Consider the following 15,651-nt stretch of genomic DNA (forward strand, 5'->3'; position numbering starts at 1 on the left):
TGGAGGGTAATGTAGTATCAAAAAGCTGTTTATTTTGAGATCGATGATATAGTAGGTTTGTATGCTAATGGGACTGATTCAGTAGACAGAAAAAGCATAATGCAGGAAACAGAGGGATATTGCTGAAGCCATAGACCTGGGACACAAATAGAAGGGTTAGTTTTAAAGATAGGCCCACAAACAGCTCATTAGTAACAGCAGGATGAAGGGCAGATTATGGAGTTCCAGATGTTTGTAGTCCAGTAGATAGGAGGAGCATGTCAAATTTTTGTGATATTTTCTCAGTGAAACAGGAAGCAAGCTCATAAAGAGGGAGGAAGTCACGAAGGAGTAAGGAAGGAAAAGGAGATGTAAAATGAATAGATAGGAGTGTAGGAAAGTAAGCATACTCTTAGGAAATCTGTGGTTTATTTAAGTGGTATCAGTCAATGTGGTTCTGTGTTTTTCTCCAGTTGAGTTCAGCATAGGTGCTATCACTGAAAAAGTACAGAATTCAGTTTAACTAAAGGTGAGATTTCTCTAGGTGAATAAAACAGTCAGTGATGAGATGTTGATACATTTAAGAGAATGATTATAAAAGAGGGATGTGGAAAGTAGTCTGGGTTAAGTAGTGAAGTGAGAAAATAAAGAAGGTTGAGACAGTGGAAAATGGAATGATCAATTGTAGATTGCAGTGTGGTTGAAGATGCAATGGACTTCTTGAGGTGGGAACTAGAAATTTGGGGGATATAAATAAGAGAGGGGTGACTGAAATTGAAAATATGAGAGTATAATAGTATACAATATTACTAAGTATGGTATACTAAGTATAGTAGAATAGTACTAAGTATAGTAGAATAGTACTAAGTATATAGTACTTAGTGAGTATAAGTTTTAGGATGTGAAGAGGGGAGTAGCGTAGAGGCAAGGTGATGGAAGCAGATGAGTTCAAGAAAATGAGAACCTAGGAGATTGAAACCATTATCTAAATGAATTCTGAAATCTCAAGAAGAACTGTGCTGAGTGCTTGTAGTCATTATTTTGTCTTTACTACTCTGTGAGAAGACAGCACTTCCTTTTGTGAGTAATGGAAAGTTCTTTAATATGTCAACTGTAAGATACTTTATTACATTTAATTATCTTTAGTAATGCATAGTAATAACTAATGACCTCAGTAGGATTATTCAGTAGATATGTGAGCTAACCCCCTGTGTCAGACACCTAAGAGGAACAACTGATGTTTTTCAAGACGAATAGAGGGTTCTCATCCCAGGGTTTTAAGCTGCAAAATATCCCACCCTATATTTTCTGAAAACAAACGTTATATAGAGTGTCCACATAAAAGCTAACAGGAAATATTACACACACACACACACACACACACACACACACACACAGCATTGAAAATGCATCAGGAAAGATATACCCTGTACCCAACATGCACAAGGTCTAAGCAATGAAGAAAATCTAGGAAATCAAATAAGACCAGAACATCTATGACTAATATATAAATACTTGAGGCAGTTATATCCATTTAAAAGGTGTCAATTAGACATGAAAGAAAAAGGCCAGGTGCAGTGGCTCATGCTTGTAATCCCAGCACTTTGGGAGGCCAACGCAGGCGGATCAACGTGAGGTCAGGGGTTTGAGACCAGCTTGGCCAACAAGGTGAGACCCCGTCTCTACTAAAAATACAAAAAAAATTGCTGGTTATGGTTGCACGTGCCTGTGGTCCCATCTACTTAGGAGGCTGAGGTAGGAGAATCATCTGAACCCAGAGGTAGAGATTGCAGTGAGCTGAGATTGCGCCATTGCACTCCAGCTTGGGTGATGGAGTAAGATTAAAATATATATATATACATTTTTACATAAGAAATTTTATTTTAATTTTTTTGTAAATTAGAAAATAGCAATTAATATGGTATTTATATACCAGAATCTTTGAATATCTAAAATTTAAGAAGATGTGAGCAATTTCATGAAACTTTTCAAAGCTTAGAAAAAGGTAGCTATGTAAAATAACAATGTATGTTGTTTATGGGAACATTAGATGAAGTAAGTCATGAAAACATGCATAGAAATGATCATATAAACTTGCAAGAAATTGAATGTCTTGCTATCAAAGGAAAGGATGGAGGTGTAAGAGACTGAGGTAGAATGTGAGAAGCTCTGTATATATTGTATTTTCCTTAAAAATATATATTTAAACTCGCATTTCTTGTTTTTCAAATGTTCACTCTAATGAAAATTCTTTTATTTTTCCTGTTACAGTTTTTATTTCTGATCTCATATATGCAGTGTACTGTTGTTCAGAAATATCATTGATCCTCCCTGCAAATGAAATACTCTCATCCTGTTGAATTTGAGAATGTACACATGATTTGCTTTGGCTTTGAAATGTGAGCAGAAAGAATGTTTTACTTTGGGGAGTTCCCAATTGCTAAACCATGTGTCAAAATGAAGTTTTTGTGACATTACAAATGGACTAATAAGAGTGCCTTTGTTGATCCTAGTTGAACATGAGAAACTTGGTTATTGTAAGCCACTGAAAAATTTTAGTTTCTTTTATTACTGCAGAATAGCCTATTCTGTCCTGATTGATACAGCCACAACATTTCCTTAAGCTCTTTGATTTTCATATTGCCATTAGGATGTAGAATGCCAAGAGAAGGATAAATCATAGGATCAGAGAATGTTAGCAGTGAACGAGACTATTGGAATACATTTTTTCAATGGTTTCCAGACTTTGGGTTCTAAGTAATCAGTAATATTTCGAAAAAGTAGTAAAAGATATTTCAATATAAAAAATAATGACATTTAACTTTGAAAAAAAAAACCTATCATTGCTAGGCATAATGGGTCTAGCTTGTAATCCCAACAACTTGGGAGGCTGAGGAGGGAGGATCACTTAAAGTCCAGGAGTTTGAGGCTGCAGTGAACCATGATTGCATCTCCACACTCCAGCCTGGGTGACATAGGGCCACCTCAACAACAACCACCACCAAAGCTATCATTAATACATTGTTCCTCTGTCTCTCTTCCCATCCTCCTTACCACTTAGTCTTAAATCTAATCTTATTAAACAATATCTAAGGAAAAGATAAGAAAAATGATGGTTGCATCTATACTGAACATGTGTTGACTTTTTTCTTGTCACTATTTTCTAAACAACACAGTATCACAACTTTTGACATAGCATTTATGTTGCATTAGTTATTATAAGTAATCTGAGATGATGTAAAGGTTATATGCAAATATTATATTTTATATAAAGGACTTGAGTAATTATTACTTTAAGTATCCATGGTGGTTCCTGGAACAAATTCCTCATGGATATGGAGGGAGGAGGAATCACTGTAATTAAACAAATCATCACTTTAAAACTTAAAACCTTTTGCATGTTGAATACAGTCATGCACCACATAAATGATGGTGGTCCCATTAAGTTTATTATGCCATATTTTTATCGGAAGTTTCCTATGTTTAAGTGTATTTAGATACACAAGTACACTGTGTTACAGTTGCCTATAGTATTCAGTAAAATAACATGCTTTACAGGTTTGTAGTCTAGGAGAAATAGGCTAAGCCATCTAGGTTAATGAAGTCCATTCTATGACATTTGCACAGTGGCTTAATTACCTAAGGGCTTTCTCTTCAGAACCTACTCTTGTCATTAAGCAATGCATGACTGTAGTTGGACAAAAAATAATAATGCAGGCATACCTTTGGCACTGTCCTAATTCTTACCAGCATCCATGATTGCTTAAATTTGCACTGGAAAGACTTCAAAAAACAGTGATATATTAGGACAATATATTTCCAGTACATGACAAATGATAACAACATAAGAACTCGAAACACTCAATAAAAAACAAAAAATAAAGCAAAACTAGATGGGAAAAGGAAGAAGCAAATTTCAAGAGAAAACTCAAAAGGCCAAAAAATGTGAAATGATGTTCAGCCTTGCTAGTAATTGGGAAAAACACAAATCATTTTTTTTTTTTTTTTTTTTGAGATGGAGTCTCCCTCTGTCACCCACGCTGGAGTGCATTGGCGTGATCTGGGCTCACTGCCAGCTCCACCTACCACCTTCAGGCCGCCATTCCCCTGCCTCAGGCTCCAGAGTAGCTGGGACTACAGGGGCCCACCACCATGCCTGGCTAGTTTTTTGTGTTTTTAGTAGAGACAGGGTTTCACCATGTTAGCCAGGATGGTCTCCGTCTCCTGACCTCGTGATCTGCCCGCCTCAGCTTCCGAAAGTGCTGGGATTACAGGAGTGAGACACGTGCCCGACCCAAATCATTTTTAATCTATTAGTCAAAAATTAGAGCTATGATAATATTAATTTTTGGTGGGAGTGTGGCAAAAGGTACTATAATATACTGCTACTAGAGAGTAAAAATTGATAAATTTTGTAAGGGCAATTTTGCACAATATGAAAATATAAAAATATGCTTCATGTTTACCATACATTTATCTAGCATACAGAATTACCCATGTGTAAACATGTATACAGATGTTCATTATAACACTTCTTATAAAAACAAAATATTTGGAAATAAATGTTCATATTAATAAGGCGCATACCGTATGATCTTAGTCCAGTTAGAATATTCTGTTTTATTTCAATCCTTTAAAAGACTCAACTTCTGACTCTATATAGACGATTAAAAAAAGAATGTGTTCTCCCTTTGTGCATTTGGTCAGGTAAATTAAAAAATACACCACATGCTAGCCGCACCAAACTGGAATAAGCCTTTGGAAAGAAGTTGTCCTTGAAGCTTGTATCTGACATTGTAGCAGGACGAGCCTCAGACAAAACCTCTCAGACACTGAGTTGTAGAAGGAAGGGCTTTATTCAGCTGGGAGCATCGGCCAGCTACTGTCTCAAAATCTGAGCTCCCGGAGTGCACAATTTCTGTCCTTTTTAAGGGCTCACAACACTAAAGATTTCACATGAAAGGGTCGTGATTGATTTGAGCAAGCAAGGGATACGTGACAAGGACTACATTCACTGCTGGTCAGGGAGAAACAGAACAGGGCAGGGAGTTTCACAGAGTTCTTTTATACAATGTCTGGAATCTGTGAATAATATCAGCTTCTAAATCATAAGTTGATTTTTAGCTACTGGGTTTAGGCCAATCAGGCCCAGGCCTGGTTTCAGGCCTGGCGCTGGGCTGCATGTCTTTGGTTGTACTTCCTGGTTGTTTTTACTGAATAGAAAACAATATAAAACAAGGAGAGGGTCTTTGTCTCCTCTCAATATCAGCACTGGATTGTAGAATGTGTTGCTGATTTTGACCTTGTATTCAAGTTAACTGTTGCCCTTGGTATCTGTACATATCTTTGATTTCAGTCTTTACTACACGTGGCTTGGTCACTTCATGGCTAAAAACATGCTTGTGGAAGACCAGTCTGGCTCGGTGAGTCTGTGCGGCCAGCAGTCTCTGATCTGTACAGGGTATTAATGTGTCAGGGCTGAGTGTTCTGGGATTTGTCTAGAGGCTGGTAAGGGCTTCTGGACCACTTGTTTCTGTCCTGTCAGTCTGTCAGGGTTGGAAAGTCCAAGCCATAGGACCCAGTTTCCTTTCTTAGCTTACGTTATCTACCAGAGCACCGTGGGCTGTTACTTACCTTGAGTTGGAAGGGGTTCGCATTTATACCTGTAAAAGTATTCATCCTTTTAATTTATGTAAAGTTTTTTTGTATGCCATTCTGGATCTTTAAAGAGATGACAACAAATTTTGGTTTTCTACTGTTATGTGAGAACATTAGGCCCCAGCAACAGGTCACTGTTTAAGGAAAAATAAAAGTGCTGCCAGAACCTAAGAAAAACATTAATATCTAAAAGGTCATTTAGATGATTTCCATGAGAGACTTTTTGATGTTCTTTACCTGTTAGGATTATTATTGATAATCCTTTTCAGATTATGAATAAACAGTTTGCCCTCAAGTATTTATTCATGCTAATATTTACTTTGTAAAATGTGCTTCTTACAGGAATATAAATAGTTTCTGGAAAGGACACTGACAACTTCAAAGCAAAATGAAGTTCTTTCTGTTGCTTTTCACCATTGGGTTCTGCTGGGCTCAGTATTCCCCAAATACACAACAAGGACGGACATCTATTGTTCATCTGTTTGAATGGCGATGGGTTGATATTGCTCTTGAATGTGAGCGATATTTAGCTCCGAAGGGATTTGGAGGGGTTCAGGTGGGTATGATTCATAGTATCAATTGCGGAATTCACTGTGCTTGTAGGAAATAGTATTCTGATCTTATCTGTGAAGCTTGGGCAACATTTTACTTCACAGGTAAGTATTCTAAGTAAAAGAGATTTCTGAGGGAAAATCTATGTAGTATTCTTGGCAACTTTATATTTTGTTTCTGAGATAATCTTTCTTCACCAAGAGCCCTCCAATGTGCTGTTAATATTTTCAAGAGATAGCTGCCTATACCAAGATTCAAGAATCTTTTATACTATTGATTAGTTTCTAGAACATTCAATGATACACAGTAAGACAGAATTTGGTACTTATGAAGACTGTTTAATTTGTAGGTCTCTCCACCAAATGAAAATGTTGCAATTTACAACCCTTTCAGACCTTGGTGGGAAAGATACCAACCAGTTAGCTATAAATTATGCACAAGATCTGGAAATGAAGATGAATTTAGAAACATGGTGACTAGATGTAACAATGTTGGGGTAAGTGAATTCTAGTTTCCTTTAAAAATAACAGACAGGAAAATGGTTTCTCTCTCTTCTTTCTTGCTCCTTTTCAGCAGAAAATTTTCCGTATTTTATTTTTTTAATTTTACTTCATAATTTAAAACTCAAAATTAACTGTTTATTTATGTTCAACTTTTGTGAATATTTGTGTGTGTGCTATCTACTAAAGAGGTAAGTTAAAGTTTAAATCAGAATTTGCTTCTAAAGCAAAACATCAAATTTTAACCCTTATAACTGTTCGTATTTCCCGGAAACAATTTACTGGTTAGGAAGTATAATTCCAGTTACAATGTTTGCTATCATTTTTAGGTGACTTGTGTCTCCATCCGTAATTCTTGGGTTTTTCATGGTGAATAGCTAGCTTCTCTATTTAATGAGGAGCATAAATTGAGATTAATAGCTACCTTGTTTGTCTTCAAAAGCTTCATAGAGAGTACAGGCTTTCTCCTGGTGACCCACTGAAATTTCCAAAACAATAACCTTTCCACTCTCATCTGAGTTTTGTCTTCCCAAAGTGGGCTTTTTGCATTTCCTCCTATTTATGGTAGTTTCTGGTCTCTCAATTTATCATTCCTATAAATATTTGACCAAGTGTCTAGAAGGCATGTAGGTGTTTAGTTCACATTACTTTCCTTTCACAGTTGATTTTTGATCTTGTAGGAAAATAATTATAAGATATCATGAAATATTTTGGAGTTTTATTAACATACTATAAACTTGCATCAATAATGCTTTAAATTTCTACCTCTCTGTAAGTCACACTGAAGTAGAAACTTTGTTTTCTAGGTTCGTATTTATGTGGATGCTGTAATTAATCATATGTGTGGTAACGCTGTGAGTGCAGGAACAAGCAGTACCTGTGGAAGTTACTTCAACCCTGGAAGTAGGGACTTTCCAGCAGTCCCATATTCTGGATGGGATTTCAATGATGGTAAATGTAAAACTGGAAGTGGAGATATCGAGAACTACAATGATGCTACTCAGGTAATTTTTTTACGAGAGTGATCTGAATAAAAGAGTAATATATGCCTTTTCTTGTAGACATGTAGCTAATTGAATTTCATTTAAAATAGGAATTTAGATCTCTTAGGGACAGAAGTTAACAAGTTTGACTACTTTAAGAAACTCAAATCCATATTTAAGAACTTTCAAATATTGATTTAAGATTTTTAATCAATACACATTTGCCCACTTCTAAGAAGTTCCCAATTAAAAATCTCATCGACTTTATTTCCTAAATTCTCTATTTTCTATTAGAAAATATTTCAAAGATACATCTGTAGTAGAATGTGAGCATCCCCAGTGCCCAATGCAAGGAAGTCACTATAGAATATCTCTTGAGGAATCATGGAATAAATGAATAATCCAATGGATTCTCAGGAGAAAAATGAGGTTTTATGAATCAATCATAACATTTTTACCTCAACAGGTCAGAGATTGTCGTCTGACTGGTCTTCTTGATCTTGCACTGGAGAAGGATTACGTGCGTTCTAAGATTGCCGAATATATGAACCATCTCATTGACATTGGTGTTGCAGGGTTCAGACTTGATGCTTCCAAGCACATGTGGCCTGGAGACATAAAGGCAATTTTGGACAAACTGCATAATCTAAACAGTAACTGGTTCCCTGCAGGAAGTAAACCTTTCATTTACCAGGAGGTACATCAATACTTATATGCCTATAAAATATCATCTTATTCGTTAGAAAATTAATGGAAGATTTAATTAAAAATGCAATTTCTGTAGGATAAGGAATGAGACATTTACATAAAACAGTGTTCTTTAACCTCCTCTTCTTCACATACAGCATATCTAATTCTTTATCACAACATGTTTTATGGAGGTACACAGAATGTAGGATACTGATAATAGTTATGTCTTTACTTTCTTTGGATAATGAAACAAGTTAATATTTATCAAGGAATTTCAGTCGATACTAAATGTTTTATTAGTGTGAGCTCTTATTATTATCATTGATGTAGAAGACTAAAAATTAGGTAAGTATTTTCACAGGACAACAGGTATCTTTGACATTATGCTTCTTTCAATATTGTAGCCTATACTTTATCAAATAAAAGAATATAAGAATATTACCTGTTGAGATAATAGGAATAAGAAAACCATTTTGCACATTTCGTGTAACAAACAGGACCAGGCATGGTGGCTCGTGCATGTAATCTCAGCACTTTGGGAGGCTGCGGCAGGGGGATTGCTTGAGGCCAGGAGTTTGGGACCATCCTGGACGACATAGCAAGACCCTGTCTCTAAAAAACAAAACAAAACAAGACAAAAAGAAATAATAAATAGCTTAATTTATTAATAAATAACAAATAGCATAAAGCTATTTTTATATAATATTAACTTATTGGTTAAAATGCTTTAAAGTCCTTACACAAAATGTTATTGTTTCCTAAATTTCTACTAGGTAATTGATCTGGGTGGTGAGCCAATTAAAAGCAGTGACTACTTTGGTAATGGCCGGGTGACAGAATTCAAGTATGGTGCAAAACTCGGCACAGTTATTCGCAAGTGGAATGGAGAGAAGATGTCTTACTTAAAGTAAATAAATACAACTTTTCCCTGAAGTATTTCATGGATCTATTAGTCATACTACCTCAGTGTGACTTATCTTCTGGAACATTCTTATTCAGACAACTATCAAAGAGTCAATTGTGAATGATAAGTATTCTAGTGCCCTAAACTCTAATCAATCATCTTTTGTATTTAGAGTGTCTGTCACAAGGCAATATGTCTAGGAACGCTAAACATACCCTAGGAGTTTTCATCTAAGTACGAGATGAATATACTGGATTTGACTGATGTTTGCATATAATCTTTTAAAGCCAGGTTATTATTAAAATGATCCTATCATTTATGAAGTATGTACAAAGTTTCCATCCTGTAGAATTTACATGTATTATATGAATTAAAAATATAAAAAATATTTATATTATAACAATACAGTATTGAAGCCTTATTTTAATCTAGTTTGATTAAACTAGATTGGTCTAGTTTGATTAAACTAGATTAAACTTCTTGGTCTAGGCACATGAATATTGTTGTGGGGAAGAGAATTCTGTATAATGTGATATGGATATTGATCCTTCTGGAGTGCCTCTAAATGATAATGTGCTGAAACCTCTGAAAGGACCTTTTTTAATAACAAAAATCTTATATTTGTAATATGAATGTAAGTATTCCATACATGTATATACAAATATGGACCATACATGTAGATTACACATGTGTGTGTGTTTGATGTGTGTGTATATATATGTGTGTGTGTGTTTGTGTGTGTATATATATATATATCTCTTACAGGAAAAGCATTTAATTAGAGAAAGAATTTAATCTTCAGATGCCATGCCTTACAGAGAGAGATGCACAGTTAAGTTACTCTCAAACTGTTGTGAAATGATACATCAACGTATATCTTATTTTTCAAAAATAGGAACTGGGGAGAAGGTTGGGGTTTCGTACCTTCTGACAGAGCGCTTGTCTTTGTGGATAACCATGACAATCAACGAGGACATGGGGCTGGAGGAGCCTCTATTCTTACCTTCTGGGATGCTAGGTAGAAAACCAAGTTCTCTATTTTTTTAACACGTCTTTTAATGATGGCAAGAATATTCTGACATCCTATGAAAATATAATTATGTAACTTCCAGGCTGTACAAAATGGCAGTTGGATTTATGCTTGCTCATCCTTACGGATTTACACGAGTAATGTCAAGCTACCGTTGGCCAAGACAGTTTCAAAATGGAAACGTAAGTTTTGGAGTTGTTCAATATATCCTTTTCTGAAGAAAAAGGAAGCAATCTTATTCTAACTTAACATGACAACTATTAATTATATATTTATTCAACAAATATTTAATTGATTGTAAACTGGATACAGGGCTGTGATTTTAGTAATGTAGGTTATATTAAAGGAGTAAAATTTATATTCTCCATTGACAAAGAGTATGCAAGCTGTTTCAGAGATATGACAAACATCCCCTTAGCCCGCAGGGAAACAAAAAACAAAAAACAGAAAAACACTCAAAACTAAGAGCTAGACACAGGGATTAAAATATATACTTCGAATAAGTACCTACCTCAGGGCTGATAGGAAGATTATACATGCCAACACTTTTAGAGAACTTAAAACATCATCTGCCCGTAGTGAGAACAATATAAATGTTTGTTAAATACTTTTAAAAAGTTATATGGAATAGAAAGAAATGAATCAATTGAGCTGAGTTAAATAGGGAAAGTATCATATAAGAGGAAGGAAATGATATGTACTAAAGAATAGAAATTTAGAGAGTATTCCAAGAAAGGTAAGAATGAGAAAAATATTTGGGAGTATGGTAAAGACATTAATCTGATGAGAAGTTTCAAAAAGGAACAGAGAAATTACAGTGTAAAGATATTTGGAAAGCTAGTAGAAGGTTTTCTTTTAAACTAAAGGGTTCAGAAACAGCATCAGAGACTTCAGAACTAAAGCAGAAATTCCTCCTTCCTATGAGTCACACGGATATCTAGCTAGCTTTTTTTAGATTCCTTTCAGTTTGAGAAGTCCGCACTTTGTATAGCAATTTATTCTATTGTTAAACAGCTTTAATATTTAGAAGGTGTACTTTTATATTGAGCCAACTTCTTTTAATTTCTACTAATTGGTCTTATTTCTGATGTTAGGAGTCATAGAGTATTTTTATTTTTTCTATTACTATAACATTTCCACTTTGCCAGGACTGCTGCATGCTAAAAACTCTTAGTTTTGTTCACTTTTCACCATATGACATGATTCTAAGGTCAACACTGAAAAACTTCCTAAGATTCCTCTGGATTTTTTAATGAAGATTTTTTAAAGTGCCAATCAGAAAACCATAATATGAAAAATGTGGTCAATTTATAAATAATGTTCAGATGTATTGTTTTGTACATTTATCTAAAAAGAAGCATGAATGATTCTAATATTTATTCAGCACATGTCACATTCAAGGCATTTTCACATATATTACTTAATTTTTATAGCAAAAAAACCAATATTCCCATTTTACAAATGAAGAAACTGAGACACAGAGATATTAAGTGTATTGATTAAATTTTCTCAGGTACTAGTAATAGAGCCTATGTTTTAATCCTGGTGTTTCTAGTACTAATGCCCTTCCCATTTCAATGACATTGCATGGCTTACCACGATGTTAAGAAGCTCTTGCAGGCCAGGTGCAGTGGCTCACACCTGTAATCCCAGCACCTAGTGAGGCGAGGCGAGAAGATCAGCTGACCTGAGGAGTTCAAGACCTATCTGGGCAAGCTAGCAAGACCTCGTCTTTACTGAAAATTTTTTAAAAATTAGCTGGTTGCGGTGGTGCACACCAACAGTCTTAGCTACTTAGGAGGCTGAGATAGGAGGATCGCTTGAGCCTGGGAGATCAAGGCTGCAGTGAGCTATGATCATGCCACTGTACTCCAGCCTGGGTGACAGAGCAAAGAAGCCTTTGCAGTTCTTTGGAATGAAAAGGAGAGGATAAAAATTTGTTACCTTGTTTGAAATATGCCAGAAGAAAACCAGAGGATAGAGAGATGATGAAGACCCAGTAAAGGGCTATAAACATTAATGAAGGCATTGGATTCTAGATAAAGTCACTGAATGCAGAGACACAAGTAACAGGATTGGTTGGGTTTGGTGTAAAGGAGAAGGAAGAGGTAAATACATGCATAGTAAAATTTGGCTTTTTCCCCCCTACTTAAGGATGTTAATGATTGGGTTGGGCCACCAAATAATAATGGAGTAATTAAAGAAGTTACTATTAATCCAGACACTACTTGTGGCAATGACTGGGTCTGTGAACATCGATGGCGCCAAATAAGGTGAGAATATGTATTTAGACATGTCCTCTAATAGTAAACTTTCCACTGCATTTTATTTAAAACAGTTGAAGTTTAAGAATATCAACGTTTTATATGGTATTGTGTTTTTAGGAACATGGTTATTTTCCGCAATGTAGTGGATGGCCAGCCTTTTACAAATTGGTATGATAATGGGAGCAACCAAGTGGCTTTTGGGAGAGGAAACAGAGGATTCATTGTTTTCAACAATGATGACTGGTAAGTAAATATCAATTAAAAATAATATTTTGTACCAGTATGTTCTTGGTTTATTCTTTTTTTTCTCTGTTCATTGACTTTTATCATATCTGAAAAATCATGTAGTCAGTGGAGCAAGAAGACAATAGAGATCAAAATTGGGCAGAAGCAAAAGGATGATGGCTGTTACTCCTTCGTTCTTTTTTTTTCATAAGTGCTTTCTGTTGTAAGCAGAATCCTTTCTGTGCACCCTTGCAGTATCATATGCATATATATGATGCACATGCATATGCTCACCTACACATGCCACAAAATCAATATATAAAATCACAATCAATATAAGGATTGTGAAATCATTAAAAAAAAGTGTCTTATAATCCTGCTTTTTTAACCATGGAGAAATGCTGCCTAGGTACTAAAATATCTTTATTTCTAACTCTTTTTCTCAATGACTGCTCTACGTAGTTTTTTGGTACACTTTCTTCACTTCTCTGTCTCCTTGTGACAAATAACATTTTTAAAGCACATGTATGAATAATATGTATCTTGTGGTTACTGTTTTGCTTCAGGAGATTTGAGTTTTATTTTTGAAACTTCTCATTATTGGCCTTTCATCTGTGATTCTTATATGCTTTACCTGAAGCATAAATGATTATCTAAGATATAGCTCAGAAGACCTTGGTGTAAACAGTTGAATTGTCCCTGTCCAAGACCAACTGACACTCATACTTAGCTCACTCTAGTATAAATTATATTTCACTGATGAAAAGTAAATAAATACATCAATATACAAGTCAAGTTGATCTCTTTCCTGCCAAAAAAGCCCATGTCTAGTTTTTTAATTTCTTTCTTTTGTAGATGAAAATACCAAAATAAGTTTTTGTGAAAAAGCTTTATATTTCAAACTATCACTTCTTCATAGAAATGCTAGATTATTTTTATGTGCATCCCAAATTCGTTTTGATCTCATGGGAGAAGAAGGAGGTTAAAAAATAATACCCTTTAAATTTTTAAGAGTAATTGGTATTAATTTCAGTTGAGAACAAATTTGATTTTACCAAGGTAGAACTTTTATCAAAGTGTGACCGTTCCTGCCAATCTTCAGTGATATTCTTCAACTTTGATGTTTTGGTAATATTTTCACTACTAACCAGGAAATTGCTAGGTTTTCTGTAAGGTTACTTTTGGTCCTAGAAAGCTATTTCCACCTACTAGAGAGGCATATGGGTTTTCTTCTTAATAAGACTTCACTGCTTAGGTTTGTTTCTACAACATAAAGTTATGCTGTTTATTTGTGTTAGTCTGTATTCTTGATTTTCATTGTATTGAAGATCAACCTTAAATTTTATTTTACAGGTCATTTTCTTTAACTTTGCAAACTGGTCTTCCTGCTGGCACATACTGTGATGTCATTTCTGGAGATAAAATTAATGGCAATTGCACAGGCATTAAAATTTACGTTTCTGATGATGGCAAAGCTCATTTTTCTATTAGTAACTCTGCTGAAGATCCATTTATTGCAATTCATGCTGAATCTAAATTGTAAAATTTAAAATTAAATGCATGTCCTCAAAACAATAGCCAAGTGTGTTTCTTTTCTTACATGTACAGCAGTACTTATATTTCATTAATTTTTACTAAAAGCTCTAATTAGTAATTAGAGGTTCAAAAAAGTTGATAGTGTGAAACACAATTCCAGGTTACACAGAAGTTATTTATTTTGGCAAAAGGATGTCTCAGAAATTTTAAAACTAGGCAACAACCTTTACTCATTAAGAGGGAAGACTTAGCTTTCCAAACAGTCTGTCTCCTGTCTACTCTTTTCTCTCCTTGGCAGTCTACCAACAAGGCAAACCAAATATTTCATTATTCTTCTCTATTACATGAAAAATCTGTACAAGGGAAAGAAAACCAAATTTTACCCTTACATTGGTTTCAAAACATTCCTTTTTCCATAGGCAACGTTTACATTTTTATGCCTTTTTATAATCTTTTATGACAAACACATTTTACTGTTTTTACACACATTTTACACACTTTGCATGTAAATTTATTTTTAGTTGTCTTATTTACATGTTTTAATGGTAAATCTTAACTTTGCCATTTTAGTTAAAATGGTAACTTTAATGTAAAACCTGGTAAGTTTTTTCAATTATGTACTAGATGCAGATAAAGTCTGACTTTTTCCATCCTAGTTAGGGGCATGGTTAATTTCATATGTCCCCAGGCCTTATCAAGTTGTAAAGTAGGCAGTATACAACCTTGAAACATTTAGCAAACCTGGTATCTAACTTATATGATTTAAACCTCCTATTTACGTGTTGATGATATTTGCATTTTCCAATTTGATCTTTAAAACAATTTTTATTTCTTAGAGATGAAAGTCACATAAACTAAAAGGCATTGCAGTTTTAACTTTCCTCTAAAATGTTTGATTTAAGTGCATATTTTTATTTCAGGCAATCAGTTATAGCTCGTTACAGACATCACACACAACACATATATCATTACACAGACAAACAGAAGCAGATCCAGTAGTTCTAAGATTTCTTCCTGTCCCACTTCCTAATTGAATTATTGGCTTCCCAGTAGAGCCCTTTAAGAGCAGGGATAGAAAAACCATGAAGTTTCTAGGGCCTAATCAACTTGTATAGCTGTAAGACAAAAGCAGATTTTGAGTGGGATCTATCAGCCTCTAAATTCTGGGATTCCATCAGGAAAACAGAGGTTTCTCCCAAAATGGAATCCACTGTGCCTTTTCTGTTTTTCCCAAAAAGTTTCAGGCCACCAGACATTACCTTGGGTGCATCAAGAGTGGAAAGACAGAGCGGAGGACAGTAATTCAGCCAACAGAAAAATTCTTTTC

The 15,651-nt window shown here is 34.8% G+C and overlaps 1 protein-coding gene across 2 annotated transcripts; it reads left to right on the forward strand.

The window, feature by feature from the left end:
• The first annotated feature begins 5,235 nt into the window (after positions 1–5,235).
• AMY2A (amylase alpha 2A) lies at positions 5,236–14,365 on the forward strand. 2 transcript variants are annotated; one of them, XM_047418085.1, is made up of 11 exons: positions 5,236–5,402; positions 5,980–6,193; positions 6,539–6,685; positions 7,496–7,693; positions 8,139–8,369; positions 9,136–9,269; positions 10,162–10,284; positions 10,379–10,478; positions 12,451–12,569; positions 12,681–12,806; positions 14,142–14,365. In XM_047418085.1, the coding sequence occupies exons 2-11, from the start codon at positions 6,026–6,028 to the stop codon at positions 14,329–14,331; spliced, it is 1,536 nt and encodes a 511-aa protein (XP_047274041.1). In that variant the 5' UTR covers positions 5,236–5,402; positions 5,980–6,025; the 3' UTR covers positions 14,332–14,365. The 2 variants fall into 2 exon arrangements, with proteins under 2 accessions (XP_047274041.1, NP_000690.1); NM_000699.4 differs by lacking the exon at positions 5,236–5,402 and having other exon boundaries at positions 6,012–6,193.
• The last annotated feature ends 1,286 nt before the right edge of the window (positions 14,366–15,651 follow it).

The sequence above is a fragment of the Homo sapiens genome, chromosome 1, assembly GCF_000001405.40.
Source record: "Homo sapiens chromosome 1, GRCh38.p14 Primary Assembly".
Classification (NCBI taxonomy): domain Eukaryota; kingdom Metazoa; phylum Chordata; class Mammalia; order Primates; family Hominidae; genus Homo; species Homo sapiens.

Bases quoted from the DNA above. Each gene is read 5' to 3' on its own strand.
- AMY2A (XM_047418085.1), top strand. From the start codon at position 6,026: ATGAAGTTCTTTCTGTTGCTTTTCACCATTGGGTTCTGCTGGGCTCAG. The intron at 7,694-8,138 runs GTAATTTTTTTA...TTACCTCAACAG, and splicing joins ACTACAATGATGCTACTCAG to GTCAGAGATTGTCGTCTGAC. The intron at 10,285-10,378 runs GTAGAAAACCAA...TGTAACTTCCAG, and splicing joins CTTACCTTCTGGGATGCTAG to GCTGTACAAAATGGCAGTTG.